General features: G+C 41.5%; 1 pseudogene across 1 annotated transcript in view; it reads right to left on the reverse strand.

Moving 5' to 3' along the window:
• The window catches only part of PPP4R1L (protein phosphatase 4 regulatory subunit 1 like (pseudogene)), a 76,663-nt pseudogene that overhangs the window by 20,710 nt on the left and 36,940 nt on the right, over positions 1 to 19,013 (reverse strand). The window lies entirely within an intron of this gene.

A 19,013-nucleotide genomic window follows, 5' to 3' on the forward strand; every position in this document is an offset into this window, starting at 1 on the left:
CATCAAAGAGACAACTCACAGAATGGGAGAAAATATTTGCGAACCATGCATCCAACAAAGAACTAATATCCAGAATCTACAAGGAACTCAAACAAATCAAAGAAAAAAACAAATAATCCCACTGAAAAGTGGGCCAATGATATGAATAGGACATTTCTCAAAAGAAGATATACAAATGGCCAAGAAGCATATAAAAAAAATTCAACATCACTAATTATCAGACAAATGCAAGCTAAAACCACATTGACATACCACGTTACCCTAGCCAGAATGGCCATTATTAAAAAGTCAAAAAACATAGATGTTGGCATGAATGTGGTGAAAAGGGAATGCTTATATACTGCTGGTGGGGATATAAATTAGTACAACTTCTATGGAAAACATTACGGAGAATTCTCAAAGAACTAAAAGTAGGTCTACCATTCGATCCAGCAATCCCACTACTGGGTATCTACCCAAAGGGAAGGAAATCACTGTATCAAAAAGACACCTGTATGCATATGTTTATTGTAACACAATTCACAATTGCAAAGATATGGAATCAATCTAAGTGCCCATCAACCGATGAGAAGACAAAGAAAATGTGGTAGTCTGGGTAGTGAGACCTGTCTCTACAAAAACTAAACAAAATTAGCTGGGTGTAGTGGTACACGCCTGTAGTCCCAGCTACCTGGGAGACTGAGGTGGGAGGATCACTTGAGCCGAGGAGGTTGAGGCTGCAGTAACCCAAGGTTGCACCACTGCACTCCAGCCTGGGCAACAGAGCAAGATGCTATCTCAAAAAAAGGAAAAAAAAAAAAAAAATATATATATATATATATATATTTTAATGTGGTATATATATATATACCATGGAATACTACTCAGCCATAAAAAAGAACAAAATAATGTCTTTTGCAGTAACTTAGATGGAACTGCAGGACATTATTCTAAGTGAAGTAACTCAGGAATGGAAAACCAAATGCCCCATGTTCTCACTTATAAATGGAAGCTAAGCTATGGGTATGCAAAGGCAAATACAGTCATATAATGGAAACTGAAGACTCAGAAGGGGAGAGGGTCAGAATGGGGTGATGAATGAAAAACCACCTATTGGTGTTCAGTGTACACTACTCAAGTGATGCGTACCCTAATATCCTAGACTTCACCACTATACAATTCATCCATGTTGCCAAAAACCACTTGTATCCCTAAAGCTAGTGAAATAAATACATATATACATACATAAATTTTTTAAAGCTACAGTTTTACTGTGAAGGAAGGAGGGAGCCAAAGAAAGGAAAGCTCCAAAATCTGTGGTTAAATCTTACCCTAATCCTTAGCTGATCTCTGAACTGGGCATGCACAGGGGAGATGGTGAGGTTCATAGAGAAACAGTAACTTAAGGATGAAAGAAGTGAGCTGTTTCAGCTGCTGCCTACTACAGGAAAAACAGAATCTGAACTGCTTTCTAGAACAAAGTCAATATCTCTAGAGGTAAACAACAAAATCCAGAGTTTCTACAATGTTTCAACAAAATACAATAGAAAATGAAAAATCTATAGACATGAGAAGAAATAAGAAAATGTGACCCACAGTCAAGAAAAATATCAGTCAGCAGAAAAAACACCCACAGAAAATCCAGATATTAGAATTAGAAGACTTTAAAAGGAATTTAAAGCAGCTATTACAAATATGCTCAAGTACAAAGAGGAAAACAGGGCCACAATGAATGAACAGATTAGGAATCTTATCAAAGAAATGGAAACTATAAAAAAGAACCAAGACTTCTGGTAATAGCAAAGTCTAAGTTAGACTAACCCTCCTGAAGCTAAAAATTATAGAATCTTGACAAAACATAAAAAAAACACCATTTGAAAGCAGCGGAAAGCAACCAAAAGGCAGAAACTGGAAGAGGGGCTACTCTTAAAAGATACACTGCAACAGGAGAGATTTGCAAGCAAGGTCCAAAATCTGTGCATAAAATGTGCTTAAATCTTTGGCTAACTGCTAAACTACATATATGTGAGGGGGATCCCAGAGGACCCAGAAAAAAAGCAGCGTCAGAAATTAAACAAACTCAGCAGAGATTTCAGCTTCTGCTCACAAGGCAGATAATTTGGAGCTGGAGATTAATCAAGGTAACTGCCTCCTAGGACAAAAATCATTTTAGAAAAATATAACAGAATCCAGGGACTCTGCAATGTATCATTTATAATGTCCAGTGTCCAATCAAAAATCACTACTCATGCATTAATAAGAAAAAAGTGATCCATAATATAAGTAGTCAATGAAAACCAACATCAAGATGATCCAAATGTTGCATGGGCCGGACAAGGACTTTAAAGGAGCTGTTATAAATATACTCAAGAATTACAAGGAAAAAATGCATAAAGAATAGACAGGGACTTTCTATATGATAGAGATATAGAAACTGTAAAGGTCTATAAAAGATCAAAATGGAAATTCTAGAGCAAAATAGTACAATAACTGAAATTAAAAATTTGCTGGCTAGGCCTAACAGCAGATTGGAGAGAAGTAAAAAAAAAGAATCAATGACTTTTTAAATTAATAAAAATTATCAAATCTAAACATCAGAGAGAAAAAATGATTAAAGAAAAGTGAACAATGCCTCAAAGACCTGTAGGACAACATCAAGGGTCCCAACTTTGTGTTATCTAAGTCACAAACTGAAAGGAGAAAAAGAATACAGAAAAAGGTATTTAAAACAACAATAGCCCAAACTTCCCAAATTATTTGAAAGGCTTAACACACAAATCCAAGAAGTTCAATGGAGACAAAACAGTATACTAACTATGCTAAATCCAAAGGTAAAGAGAAAAATCTCATGAGCAGCCAGAGAAAAAGGGATATTTTATATATACGAGTACAATATAAATGATAGATGACTTCTCATGAGAAACAAAGGAGGCCAGAAGACAACAGAATGGCATCTTTAAAATGCTAAAAGAAACAAAAAAACTTTTCAACTCACAATTCTACATCCACAAAACTATCATTCAAAAATAAATGCAAAATAGACATTTTCAGATAAACAAAAATTAATAAATTTCATCATCAGCCAACCTGAACTACAAAAGGTACTAAAGGAAGTTCTTCTGCATTAAGGGAAAGGATACCAGATGATAACTCATATCCAGGAAAGGAAAGAATGACAACCACCAAAAATGGCAAAAACGGGCATATAAAAGGCTGTATTTTTTTCTTTTTTACTAATCTCTTCAAAAGATGTAACTCTTTAAATCAAAAATTAAAATACTGTACCATATGGTTTAAATATATGTCCCCACCAAATCTCAAGTTGAATTGTAATCCCCAATATTAGAGGTGGGGCCTGGTGGGAGGTATTTGGGTCATGGGGGTGGATCCCTTATTGCTTGGTGTTGTCCTCACAATAGTGAGTTCTTGCATATCTGGTTGTTGTAAAGTGTGGCACCTCCCTCCCCACTACTTCCTCTCTTGCTCCTGTTTTCATCATGTGACGTGCCTGCTCCCACTTTGCCTTCCGCCATGAGTAAAAGCTTCCTGAGACCTCCTCAGAAGCAGATGCTGGCACTATGTTTCCTGTGTAGTCTGCAGAACCATGATTCAATTAAACCTCTTTTCTTATAAATTACCCAGTCTCAGTTATTCCTGCATAGCGATGCAAGAATGGCCTAACACAGTGTATTCGCAGGCTCATAATGTAATATACATGAAAGCAACAGCACAAAGGATGAAAGCAAGTGAATGGAACCATGCTGTTGCAAAAGGTGATATATTTTTTGAAAATCCTCAATAGAGGAATTAAAATGCAATGCTAAAAAACATTCATTAGCCCAAAAGAAAACAGAAAAGAATTAACAAAAAAACAGATGAGACAAATGAAAACAGACAGAGAAATGGCAGTAATAAAACCAAACATATCAATAATTACATTAAATATAAATGAACTAAACACACTAATTAAGGAGCAGAAACTATCAGACTGGATATAAAAGCAGGATCCAACTAGATGCTAACAAAAGCACAAACACTTTAAATGTAAAGACATGTAAGTTGAGAGTAAAAAAATAAACAAATATACTATAATAAGTATAAAAATCCTAGAGTGGTTATATTACTATCATAATTGATTATAAAATATGGATTACTGTCAAAGACATTTCTTAATGATGAAAGGGTTAATATATCACATAGACATTAACATTAAATGTGTAGCTTTAAATGCTTAAAATGGAAAAGAATGCAGGCTTAAAAATACTGTTTCCTCTTTAAAAAGCTAAAAAAAGGACAAGCAAACAACTCAAGAAAGGAGAAGGGTGGAAATAATAAACAGTAGAAATCAATGAAAAAGAAATAAGTGAAAAAAACCAACAAAGCCAAAAATTGGCTTGAAAACATAAATAAATTTGATAAGCCCCTAGCAAGACTGATCAAGAGAGAAAAAAACACAAATTACCAAGATCATAATTGAAAGGGGATAACACCACAGATCTTACAGACATTAAAAAGATAATAGAAGAATATCATGAACAAGTCTAACCCAATAAATCTGACAACTTACATGAAATTAATAAATTCCCTGAAATGTACAACTTACCCAGTGACACAGACGAAGAAATCTGAACAGCACTGTATCTGAATTAAATCTGTTATGAAGAACCATCTCACAAAGAAAACTCTAGGACCAGAGGTTTTACTGGAGAATTCTAACAAATGTTTTAGGAAAAAAATAACTCCAATCTTAAATAAAACCTTTCAGAAAATAGAAAAGGAGGGAATACTTCCCAACTCATTTTTTTAAGCCAGAATAATTCTGATTCTAAAATCTGACAGAGACATAATAGGAAAAGAAAATTGTTCTCTTGAATATAGATATGAAAATCCTCAACAAAATGGTGGCAAATTATGGAGAAGGCAGCACAGTAGAATGTCAACCAGAATTGTCAATAGACAGCAACGCTAGCGGGTGAAGGTCTGACGGAGAAGAGCATACTTAAATACAAGGTAATTCTCATTACTTCCAGAGGGAAAAAAGAGCACACTGGAGAAACCTGGCAGATACCACATCTATCTATTAGGTCATCAAAGTTAACATCACCAATATTAGGACAAGCTGAAGTCTTGTGCCTCCTGCCATGACACACTGGGAATACATCACTCCTGTGATACTCCTGCCAGAAAGACAGAATCTGAATCCAATCACAAGGAAACATCAGGCAAAGCCAAACAGGGAGACACTCTGCAAAAAAAATGTGGCCAGTACTCTTCCAATACTTAAGTGTCACAAAATTCAAAGACAGACTCAGGAACTGTTCCAGATTAATGGAAACCAAAGAGATAGGACAGCTCATTGCAGCAAGTAACCCTGGACTGGGTCTTAGGCAAATGGCGATGTTTGCATATGAACTGTGGCTATGACGTTAGCACTGTATCGGTGTTAAATTTCCTATTTTGATCATTGTACTATGGTTATATAAGAGAGTTTCCTTCCTTTTAGGATATATACATTGAAGTATTTAGATGAATGCTGCTGTTTGTCCTTAATAAATAAAACATTAAATTAAAAAATGAAGTATTTAGATATAAAGAGGGACAATGCCTCCGACTAAGTCTCAAATGTCTCAGAAAATAATAAATACAGTAAATATGCATCTGTCTGTATGTGTGGAGAGAGAAGGAGAAATGGAGGAGAAGAGAAAAAAAATGATAAAATAAATGAAGCTAGATACAAATTACTAAAGAAGCCAGAAAGAGGTATAGGGGAATTCATACTACTATTCTTGCAACTTTCTTGCAAGTTTGAAATTGAAACAAGATGAAAAGTTGCCAAAAACAAAATTGTGAAAGAATTCTTCCATTCCCCCAACACAGTAAAAAGAAAAGGAGGAAAAAACAAAAGAAGGAAGGAAGAAGGTTAAGGCAGGGGAGTGAAGGACCAAAGTAGGGAGAGAAGAAAGGAAGGGATGGAGAAAGGCAGGGATTGGGGGGAGGAAGGGCTTCCTGTCTCTAAAGTCTGTTATTCTCACTATATACACAGCACTGCCTATTTACAGTAGAAAAAGGTTCTGGGTTAGTAATCTACCCATCATTCTATTTGGAATTTGCATACAGGAAGAGGGGAAAGAAAACCAATGGGGGTGGAGCGAACGGGGAAACTAGCCCATAACACAAATAAGGAAAAGGTTTGTGTCCTCAGAACAGAGAGGACACATATTTCTGATGTGATGCTTAGCAGAGTTGTACAAAGTGACAGCCACAATAAATGAGGATGTGAGGCTTCCGTATGCAGGGTGATGGGCAACTAAAGCACTCCCAGTATCTCCATCCACCCCTCTCCATCTGCCACACCTGCATGACCTTATTACTATACAGTATAAAACAAATCCAGAGTCATTAAAAGTCAGCACACTAGTGACAAGAAATTATATTCCCGTGGCCCTGGGAACCACTTGTATGGAATGACGATCTTCACTTAGTTGCTTGGAGCCAACTGTTCTTTATAGCACATAACCAAGAGATTCTTCTTAAATAAGTGCACAAATAAAAATTAGCTTAAAAATAGAAATGATGACAAAAAATGAGGAAGCCTTAACGTGAAAAAGTTTTGAGAGAGAAAAATAGTCTTCTGACAATGAGTTATAATCTCGGAATGCTAATGGCGTCCCTGCAAGCAAGAGGAATTATAATTGGTCTCTGGTGGCCTGTTTATCCTGTCTAGATATAATTAAAAGATACAGCTCTTGCAGTTTTTACCGATTCATTCATCCAACAACTAACATTTATTTAGTACTGACTCTGGGCCTGGCACTGTGCTGGGTGCTGATGGTGCAAAGATACCGCAGCCCAGTGAGCCAAGAAGCTCACCATCTTGAGGGAGAAATAAACAAAACAGAATTTCACAACTCAACTGCTAAGTGACAGAAGACAGACAGAGCCAACCCTTCTAACTGCATCAAGGACAGAGTCACTAACATTGCATAGGGTTTCTAGAAGGTCTTCACAAAGGAAAATGCACACACATTTCCCTTCCCAGGATTCCATGTACCCATGTCCCAACATGGAAGCTGTCCTGCATAACTCAATCTAAAACACCCAGGACACATGCAGTTGGTTATCTCTGATTTTCCCAATCATATATGCACTAGAGTTGTTGGCATCAGAATCAACTAATTGTTAAGTTCTAATGAGAGTGACAAGTCGAATGAACAGATGTATTTTATCCATGAAGACGTGCAGTCTCCTTGGGAGTTGAGGCACTTCCTCCAAAATGGCACTGCTTTGAGTAGGCGTGTGTTTATGTACAGCACAGATGTAGCAATATTCACACCATCCGGATCAACAGAGAGCCCCCAAACACATCGGGCATCTGACCAGCCCGGTTTGCTTCTTTCCTCATCACCCTTTTAGCTAACAGCTCCCTGAATCACCTCCTAATAGATACACACTGGCACCTGCAATGTTTGGGGTATCACCTACAGACTAGCTAAATCAGAACCCTGCCTTCCTAGGGGAGCTCTACAAAGCACACATGTGGCCTTCTCTTCCTTGGCTAATGATACTCACACTGTCATTTACTCCACCCACATTGTCATTTCCTAGCTAAAAAGAAGATTCTTTCTGTGTTCCACAGCTCTCTGGTACTCAAGGGGCAAGTCCCCCCAAGGCCCCTTGGCCTCCAGGGTCTGGGGAAATAGCTGGAGCAAAGCACACATGGGCCAGACCAGACACCCCACATTCCACTCCCATCAGATCTCCACGGGAGGAAAAGCAGAGGTCCTGCAGGAACACCTGGGAGAAACAGACAAGCACAGTCTGGGCCATGGTGGGTGGGAGGTTCAAGATCACTTCTGTTCTCGCAGCCACAGTTCAAATCCTATCCATTCAAGTAATGAGACCAGCATCTCACTTGGAATGAAAAATACAATTTATGTGAACTAATTTGTTCTGCAAGTGATTTGTGCAGATAGCTTTTTGAAGGCTTGTAATATTTTCCAAATATTTCTACCAAAAAAAATGAAGAAGAAGAGGAATATTGCTGACAAGAATGGAGTATTTGGAAAGAAAACAAAATAAAAATCATGCAAAAATGCCTTTAGCATTATTTTTCATGGTATTATCAGTCTTTAGGGGTAAGATATTTGGTTGTCAGTCGTAACCTTGGAAACTCGCCTAACCAACTTCCAAATGGAAAAGAAGATCTAGTTGGCAAAGTTCACTGCTCAACTGCCAAATACCCCAACTAAATGATATTATCCAGGTTCATTTTGCAAAACAAATTTAATTTCTTATAGAGAAACTTGAAATTTATAAAAGAACCCTGGAGAATTTGGATTTTAATAATCAATTATTCTTCAGCCTGATTCATCTTATAAACACATGGAATATGCAAAAATTAAATTAGTTTAAAAAGCCAGACCTTTAACGCATAGTTGAATAAAACTTTTACATAAATGAAGAGTAATTGCCAAATGTTCTGATGCTGTAATACAATTTTTTAGCTCTATGGCGTATAATGTTTCTGCACTTTAAAAAAGAAAATAATTCCTTTCTCTAACGTCACTGTTTCCCAAACAGGAAAACAACTATCTTCTGTATATTTTATTATACTCATAATTAATGCTTATGAATTTTTACATCCTTTACGGACCAATTTTTCCTAAAATGCTGGAATAATCCTGGAGCTATTTGCTTCTATAAGGCAAACAGAAAGGGTCATGCCATACAGCATCATTTGCATGGATCAGTGGAGGAGCAGCAGCTAAAGAAAACAAGATGGCCCATTGTGACCTCCCCTTGAGCCACAAAGGAAAAGGTGCAAGGACAAATGGAGGCATCCTGATCTGAAGGCAGGAAAAGTCTGCACTGGATCATCAGCTGCTGGTTTGTGAACAAGGGCTCCAGAAGCGAGTAGAAAATCCTGCCTGTATAATCATTTAACAATGGGCACAGAATCTTGCAAACCCAAGGATACCAGACTATTAACTAGAAGACACTGAACATTTATACTATTCCTTTCACTGCACATCTTTGACTGATAGAAGCACAAATACTTTAACACAGCATCTCCCAAATGCCTGTAAATGTTTGGCCACATCTGCATTCTTCACAGTGACTCTTCTTATTTGCTTACATACCTATCTTAGTCTTCTCCTAATCTATAGACACACAAGTCTGCTAAATTTTCTTCTTAATTGTCTAAGTACCACCTAAAATTATCTCACATCATACTAGGGTTGTTTCTTTGAGAAGGAAGGCCCAGGGTCCAAGTAGGTTCAAGGATTTACCTATAAATCTCAGCATCTTGTCCAACAGAAATCTAAGCCAGCTACTGCTGCTAAGCCCAAATCACTCTGATTTCTCAAGCCTTTTCTTCTTAAAACAATTGGTGTTTGGTTTCCTGTCCTCGTGATAGTTTGCTGAGAATGATGGCTTCCAGCTTCATCCATGTCCCTACAAAGGACATGAACTCATCCTTTTTTATGGCTGCACAGTATTCCATGGGAAGGGGAACATTACACACCGGGGCCTGTCGTGGGGTCGGGGGAGAGGGGAGGGATAGCATTAGGAGATATACCTAATGTAAATGACGAGTTAATGGGTGCAGCACACCAACATGGCACATGTATACATATGTAACAAACCTACATGTTGTGCACATGTACCCTAGAACTTGAAGTATAAAAAAAAACAAAAAAACAATTGGTGCTATAGGGATGCTTACTTCCAAAACATGCTCATGGCTGAACTGTGAGCTTTCTCCAACCTAGGTCGAGTAACTGGTTACCTTGTTCACGAGAACAGTGCTGACCAAAATCAAACACGTGTAATACTTCATGTCAGGTATAAGTCAACTTATGGGACAGTGCCCACAGGTGCTGGGCAGTCATTCCCTGGACGGACTTACGCTCACAGCTTCTGCTTTATATTCGTCATCACTGTCTGGGGCAGAGAGCTGCAGGAGAATGGGACATACTTTGTTTTCAACATCATGCTGGAAAATTAGGTCTTGTTCCAGAAGAATCAAGAGCACTTCCTGACTTGATTTTCTCACCCAGAAGGGAAAAAAACGCAGAAGGTGAAGCACAAGTGAGCAGAAGTGCCCTCAGGATCAAGACCAACCCCACTGAGCAGGGGTGGCTGAGCCGGCCCCTACCTACCCCCACCCCCATACCCTAAACACCCTGAAGACCACTGGGTCTTCCTGCCTGAGGCCTTTGAATAGGCTATTCCCTCTACCTGACTGGCTACCACTCCTCCGCTCCAGCCCAAAGCCCCTCTGCTCCTGGACCCTGTTCGAACAGGTCCCTAAACAATACTCGACTAGTGCCCTGGACTTTTTCTTCCACAGCTCTTGTTCCACATTTCTGCATTTATATACATACAAACATATAGAGGGTTATTTTCTGTATGATTTCATAATTGCCACCTGTCTCTCCTGCTGCAGAGAGTGAATTCAGAAGGCAGGTACCACATCTGATTTATCCTTTGTCTTCCAGTGCACCCTCAGGACCTGGCAGCCTGTGGCACAAAATTTTGCGTTCTGTAACGATCTGCTGAATCAATGGATGACTTCGTGCCTTTTCTCCTTTGTAGGCAGAGACTGGAAAACACTGCAGCAACCTCCTGTGACTTTGTAAACCCTGGCATGCCACACCTGAGATGGGAATTATGTCTGGTACAACAGAACGCACAGGGAAGGGGCCCAAGAAAGAGACACTGACAAAGGGGGATGCTCCCACAGAAAACAAAGGCTCCCCCAGTCCACAGAAGAAGAAGGTGGAGGAGCACTTGTTCTTTGCAGTCTGCATGGAATGAGCAAGCACTAGAGCTCAGAGGGGTCCAAAGAAGCTGAAGAGACATTTTTGGGGAAATGAAAGCACATAAAACTCCAACTTATAGACAAAATAATGAAATATGCAATTCACCGCAGTGATGAAAAGGCAGGCAAATAATAACAGGAGCCAGAGGTGTGTAGATGAGTCACAGATGATCCGTCGACAGCAGGTTATAAAAGGTTATAAAAGAGGGTGAGCCTGTGAGACTCAAGCCACAGAGGCAATATGACATTAACACTTCTGACCAGGCGACAGATGAAAACAGTATTTCAGAAAGATCATCCTGGCAGTAGCGTTCCAAGTCAACTGGAGACAATGAAAAGACCAAGAGCAACGAGGTCAGCAAGGTAGCTACTGCAAACATCCAGGCAAAGGGAAGAGACTGGGGCTGGCTGCCAGGAGTGAGGAAAGCTGATGCCCCAGCAGCACCACCCGGGCACAGCGACAGGACCCGGGTGTCACTAGGAGAAGAAAAGGCCCATGCTACCTCTAAAGTGTCACACTCGGATTGCGTGTCCAGCATGTGTCAGGAGTTGAGAGCATGAGGGGACTACAGACAAGAACAGGCAAGCCCACGTGCCGCTTTGCTGCATGATGCTACCCTAGCTGACATACTGAGATGCATGGAGGACAACAAGGATGGGAGGGCACGCCAGGCAAGGAGGGGGAAGGCCCTGAGCAGCCACTCAGTATCAGATGCCAAAAGACACCTAGGAGTCTGCAAAGGGTAGTGGGCTGAATGATGGCCCCCAAAAAGATCTGGCCGCATCACATCTCTGAAGCTGTGAATGTGACCTTCTTTGGCTCTCTGCTGATGTGATTACGGAGCTTGAGATCACCCAGAGTTACCTGGACGGGCCCTAAATACAATCACGAGTGTCCTTACAAGAGAAAGACGAGAAGAAAACACTGACAGAAGAGGAGAGAGGCCATGTGAAGTTAGCAGCAGAGATTCAAGTGATGTGGCCACAAGCCCAAGAAGCTGGCAACCGCCAGAGACTGGAAGCAGAAGGAAAGATTCTCCCCTAGAGCACCCAGAGGGAACCCACCCTGACGACCCCCTGATGCTGCACTTCCCACCTGTGGAACTGAGAGGGAAGAAACATCTATTGTTTTATGCTACGCAGTCTGTGGTAAGTTGTTACAGCAGCTCCAGGTAATGAATCCACTGAGCAAGGGTAGCAGGGGAGAAGGCCTTCCAGGACCAGAGAACAAACAGCACATTCTAAGGTGCAAGGTGATGAACTCTGGGGCCAAATACTCTGAAGAAGTAGGACAAGTTCCAGATGGCAGAATGGGAGGATGAAGGGCAAGTGAGGTCAGGCCAGGAAAAGCATGCCCGATCCCACTAGGACCTCTGGTGACCACTCCAGGTGCAATGGGAGCCCCCAAGGGTTTAACAGCAGAGGACCAACACAATCACACCTGGCTTCAGTGAGGGTGACAGTCTGGAAACCTAAAGTGGTTCTGACAAGAGAGAGCAGGTGAGGGGCTCCTGGGCCACTACAGGCTTTCATGAGGCATGATGTCAGGGCAGGGGACAGAAAGAAGAGGGCAGGTGTGACAGACACTGCTACAGAGAGCTGAGAATGACTACACAGGATAATCACAGAAGTCAGAGCAAGATGGAGGATAGAGAGACTAGGGCGGGACGCTAGAGTCTCTAAACTCTATGGGATTCGCTGGACATCTAGACAGAGCCATCCAGTAGGCTGTGGCGATGGAGGGCGGTGATTCACAGACTCCAGAGACCTGGGTGAGAGACAGCAGTCTAGTGTTCAGTTGTGTGTAGAGTCTCCCTAGGGCCACAGCAGCAGACAAGGCCATGAAGGGAACCCTGATATCATAAGAAAAGGAAGACCAAAGATAATACCCTAGAGATGAAACAGCAACTCTTAGGGGCAGGAGAGGATTGGGCTAATGATGGAGATTGGGGAAGACACAGACAAGAAGTGCGGGCAGAGGCAGGGAGGAGGCCTGGAGCTCAAGAGCTAACACGGCAGTGGGTACAGGCTCCGGCTGTGGGGTCTGAATGCTGAGCCCCCATCTGGATCCTCCAAGTGACTAGCTGAGTCATCTTGGCCAAGTGACTTGGCCTCTCTCAGCCTCAGTTTCCCATCCATAAAACTGGATAATCATAGTATCTATCTCATAAGTTTGTTGTGGGGATGAAAGGAGCGACAGGCTTCCGATGGTGTCTGGGACATGGCATGCACTAAATGAATACTGGCTGGTACTGTTAGTACAACCATGATTATTGGAAGCCAAAGGAGACAAATATTTAGAGGATCCCAGCAAGGGGTGTGTCCAGTTACCTTTGCATCCCACTGTCTGGGGTGAAGCAACACTAAATGCCTAGTGGGATCCAGTAAAGGTCTGTGCAAACACTCAAAACTGGTCAACAGTGACAAATGGTGCAAATGGGTCAAACAAAGAAAAAAAGTCAGTGAGTAGATTAAGAAATTGTGGGAGAAATATAAATACTATATAGCAGCTAAAATGAAATACAAATACTATAAAGCAGGTAAAAAGAATGACCAGCAGCTATCCCAATCAATGTGGAGGGGTCTAAGACACAAAGGAGTCACGCAATCGGCAGAATGGAATACACGTCCAATGATGCCATCTATGCAAGCTTTCAAGCTCCCAAACAAGACACTCTCTTATTCAGGGGCCACCTACACAAGTGGTGTGAGTGTGAAAACCTGGTGAGAAGGTCTCATGCCAGGCTCAGGAAGGGGAGGGAGGGAGAAGAATGGGATGGAGGAGGGGTACAGAGAAGCTGCCACCGTATCTGTAACCTCTAAATAAAAAATAAAAGGATATGCAGAAAATTGCAAAATGTTAACATTTGTTGAATATGAATGGTAGGTATATGGGTGTTTATTACACAATGCTGTCTTGTGTGATTAAAAATCTCATAACATTTTAAACACTGAACTATTAAAAAAAAAAAAAAGCACTGGATTTTACAATGAGCAGATTCACTGAGTCCGTGGCAAGATACCTATCTACCAGCTTCCAGAAAGCATCAGCTGCCGCACGAGGAGCTAGTGCCAGAAGAAGAGCCCAGAGGTAGAGGCAGTGGAGGTTCCTCTCTGAAAAAGCTTGACAGTAGGAGAAGGAGTGGGCCACAAGCTCTGAGTCAAGGCCAGGGAACGGAGAGAGCAGGGAGACTGAGGACTGATTATAATCAAACAAGAAACCAATGAGAGAGCTGGAAAAATAAGCAAGCTCTGAGACAACAGGATGGGACCACAGAGAGAAACTAAGACATGAGACTTAAAAAGGGGGTGGGACATCCCTTCCTGTAAGACAGAGGGGAGGAGCTCAGGACCACTGAAGAAATCTGCCTACATTATCAAACGGCATGTGCAGCTGATTCAGTTCTACAAATCTTTACTGAAACTACCAGGTGCCAGACCCTGTGCTAGGTCACGGAAGCCAACAAAATACAATCCTCGGCTCTCACTCAAGAAGGGGAGAGACACTTTGGCTTACAACATCTAGAAGAGCCTCCACAGCCCCATAGCATGCAACAGGCAGCCTCATGAAACCAGACATCCAGCCTCCTGCCTTCTCCAGCTGCTACTCAGCACCCACAACCACACCTCTCTGCTTAACTAGCAACTCACCCATACTTCACAGTGGGGGTGAACAAGAGGAAAGGAGATAAGCCAAGCTAGCCTGGAGCACAGCCCTGGAGCACAGCGACAACTCAAAAAAGGGGTGCTGTGAGTGGCAGCAGTAGTCCTTGCAATAGCACTGATATTACCCCCAACGTTGTGAATTTCATGCCTCACACGTTCGGTGACCATGAAGAGTACCTGCTGATGAACAGAGAAGGGCCAGCTGGCCTGAGATGCAGACGCTAGCTGGAACCTAGCACACCCATCCCATCCCCACATGCACGAGAATCTTCGTCTTTGCCGAATTAAGAATCCTAATCGGGGACCTTTGGGTGTTTTCAGGGGCCCCCACTGTGGATGTCGGAAAGAGTCAGCATCTGTTAAAGGAAGACAGAGACTGACAGAAGAGAGGAGGGGGCATTTGGGAAGGGCAAGAAGGTCAGAATCATAAGGACAGAGGGGACAGGCAGATGCCAGCAGAGTCAAGGGCAGAAAGGGACAGGTGCCCAGGAAGGAGTCTGGGCTGTGCCTCAGGGAACAAGAGGTCAGCGAGAAAGAACTTCAGCACTTTTCTGTGTTTACTAAGGGTGGGAATGAAGAGGAGCGGGTGCCCTCAAGGGGTTAGGTACTTTTGATGGAAACAAAGGAGACAGGGCTTGGCTCTAGCTGGATGGAGGAGGTGAGGGGAGAGGATTTCGTCAGTTCCTGGGTGGCGGCTCTGGGGAGTGTGTGAAGTAGGTGGTGGTTCCCTGCATGGAGATAGGGGATGAAGATTGAAGGCCTCTATTTGCTCTGAGTAAAAGGCAAGGTCATCTGCTTGGCGCGAGGCAGGCAGAGGGGAGAGGCCTGATGAAATGGCGAAGGTCTAAGAGAACTGCCAAGGATAATGGGAAATGCAGCTGATGAGGGACAAGGGAAAGGACTGCCAAGCAATGCTGCAAGCCCAGCCACGACTGGAACCCATCAATTTGCAACGGCACCAATCAGTGCATGACAGGACTCCCTCCACCAAGCTCGGCCACAAGCAGTGGAGGACACTGAAGGGCTGGGGAGGACAGGCAAAGCCAGCGTGGCAGAAGCACCATCAAAAGGACAAGTAAATAGAGGGTGATGGCAGGGACAGGCCTGAAAGGGTGGGACAAGAGAGGGAGCCGCTGAGGAACAACAGGAAGTAAATGCAGGCAGGAAATAGAGGCTGCAGAGCCAGAGGCCTGTGGGGGCAGGAAGGCCCACGGCAGGGGAGCAAAAAAAGGAGGGCAAGCTGTGTTTGTAGTGGAAGTGGGAGTGCAGAGGTGCGGCAGATCTGCACACAATGGGAAGCTGGGTGCGGACACATTGGGAAGCTGGGTGCACACACAGCTCGGGCTGACCATCGGAGTGCCTGCTCTCGACCAAGAATATGACTCTTCAGCAAACACAGACTGAGTGTCAGGCACCATGCTAGATTCTGGAGTCAAAACCACGCTTCCTGCCTCGGCTCTTCTGGAAGAGAAGATACAGCAATGCTACTGGACAAAGGTCAAGAAATGTCAAATCCCCTGACTCAGTGTAATCTCATTTTCAAGAATGAATCCAAAGGAAAAAGAAAAGTCAATGAAAGGACAAAACCACATCCTTTCCGATGTTCACTGCATCTACAGCACACACACACACACACACACACACACAAAACCTGAACGAAATCCAAGTATTCAACAAAATTAAAAATATGACAATTATGAGGAAAGTGTTTTACTGCGTCTGTAACAAACCTGCACGTTGTGCAGATGTACCCTGGAACTTAAAGTATAATTTAAAAAAAAAAAAAGAATAAGTACTATAACAGTTTGAAACATATCTACTATGTTAAAATGTGGGAGTTCCTAACAATACTCAAAAAAATTTTTAAAACCTAACTGGTAACCTTTGTAGATTATTAAAACGCCAACGATGATCCTGGAAACTGGTAAATAAAGGGATAAAATAAAGCATTTATTCTATCTTCCCTATTCAAACAGGTTTTCAGGGCTATCAAATAGTTGATAGAGGAAACCTTTACAGAAGAACTCTAGCTATTAAACTAAAAAGAGATGTTGGAATTAGTGTGTCAGAATTTACAGCCTCTAATGAGATACTGGATCAGGGCAACCATCACCAATGGTTGCTCATACGATGATGGAGAACTTTATAGAAGTTTGGCCACCTTTACAGAAAAGGTGGCCAAATTCAGCATTAGGAAAAGATAACCATCCAGAGCTTTTCTGCCCCCGATTTGATATAGCAGGAAAACACAAACCATCTACAAAGTATTCTCACTAAATAAAAAATCTGAGTCTGGCTGAGCTTCCAACTTAGCTACTAGTTTATAAGAAATGCCTGGAGTAGAGCAACATCTTAACACTACAGAGATGCAATAAACCATATCCCAAATGTGGGAAATTCTATAAAACTAATGACCTGGCTTCCTCAACAAATAAATAGCAAGGGAAAAAAGTGGGGAGGAGCAACATTATAAATTTTAAAAGATCTAAGAGACATATATCACTTAGATTCAATGTGTGGACATTGTTTGTATTCTGGTTTGAACGGCCTCTGCGCAAAAACACACACTTATGAGAAAACTGGGAAATTTGACCAATGACTAGATATTAGATGACATTAGATAACTACTGATAATTTTTATATTTGCATTAATGATACTATCGTTTTTTTTTAAAAGAGTCTATTTCTTAGAGAACAATACTAAAAGTATTTACAGCTGAAATGAGATGGTTTCTGCAAATTCTTTTGTCTGGATTGGATTTTATCTCGGTAAGATAAATGAAAAAATTAATCGAATTTTTTTTGTTTTTATTTTTTTTTGAGGCAGAGTCTCACTGTGTCACCCAGGCTGGAGTGCAGTGACACGATCTCGGCTCACTGCAATCTCCACCTGCCGGGCTCAAGTAATTCTGCTGCCTCAGCCTCACGAGTAGCTGGGACTACAAGCACGCACTACTATGCCCAGCTAATTTTTGTATTTTCAGTAGAAATGGGGTTGCACCAAGTTGGCCAGGCTGGTCTTAAACTCCTGACCTCAGGTGATTCACCTGCTTCAGACTCCCAAAGTGCTGGGATTACAGGCGTGAGCCACCACGCCCGGCCAGGTCAAACGTTAACAATGGTTGATGCCAGGTGTAGGGCACGTGGGCATTCATTTTCATATTCTCTCTACTGTTATGTGCGTTTGAAAATTTCCATAGTAAAATGCTAAAGAAAAAAAGAAATATTTCATGATAAGAATGAGTGCTGTCTATCTTCCTACATGACTAGAGGAACTGGACACAAATAGACCTTTTGTTCTAGAATCACTTAACTCTAAGAAGTTGTTTTTTGTAGTATGAATATCAGCTAAAACAAGACTAAAGAGAATTTGCTAAAGAGATCTTAAGGTTATAATTTTTCAAACCTGATTGTTTGGATCTGTGAGGTACCTCACTACAATAGGTATGAGATATTCAGAGAGCACCACTGGAAAATTTGATCTGTTTTCTTGTAAAAAAATGGCAATAGGAGGAATCTGTTCCATCAGCTCAGTCCGCACTGTGGGCTCTGCAGCAATAAAAAATTTAAAAAAATTATATTAAGAATAAGCCAAGCATCTTAGATAGTATATACTGATAGTTTCTAGCTTTTCTTACTAAAATACTTCATCAAGGAAATTAGACAAATGCAGTTTAAAAATCATTTCCCATTTAGAGTATTTATGCTACAGACAGGCTTAAAAAGCTAATGAGCTATACAGCAATATAAAAACATAAAAAGAAGAGAGAATGACAACTCTATTATAACAAGCCATATATAAATTTGAGGAGGGAGCAAGAAGTCTGCATGCTGGGCCAGCATCCAAAAGCCATTACAACTAATGCCTTATCTGCCAGACCTATGGGTTGTGCTTATTTAAATTCTAGCCAGAATGTATACATTATAAATAATTCTTTCATAAATGCACTCCGCCACAATCCACGCATCCCAATTATTTCTAAGGCAAAGCATTAAACAAAAGAGCGGCTCTAGCTCCAATATACCACATTAAATTTAACACAAATGTATAATTGCTACAGCACTGTAAACGGTGACTCATTTACAAAGAGAATCCATTTAAAGACTCAAAACATCCACTTGGGCGTTTTTAAAAGCATTGCGTTATATTCATATAAATATTTTGAACTAATGTGGGAGCTATATGGAAGGCTTATTTTTCTATTTTCAGTTAAAATGATTAAACTCTAAAGGCTGAGAGTCCTGAAACTTTCTGAAGCTTCTCATGATTCATTCTGAATGCAGGAAGGAGGGGGCTGTGGCACAGCTGTCAGTACCGGCCAGCCCCGCCACTCATTCATCTAACTCATCTTTACTGGGGCGGGGGGGAAGACAACATCATCATATCTGCTGTACAGCAACGTGCTTTTCTTCCACGATACCAATCATGGAGAGGTAGAATGAGAAAGAAAAATCAAGATTCGCCTAGAGGGAAACTAATGACTGAGATTTTCGAACCCAAGAGGCTTCTTTTGATTTGGCATTTCTTAGCAACCAGTAGTCT

The sequence above is a fragment of the Homo sapiens genome, chromosome 20 (genome assembly GCF_000001405.40).
Source record: "Homo sapiens chromosome 20, GRCh38.p14 Primary Assembly".
Classification (NCBI taxonomy): Eukaryota; Metazoa; Chordata; class Mammalia; order Primates; family Hominidae; genus Homo; species Homo sapiens.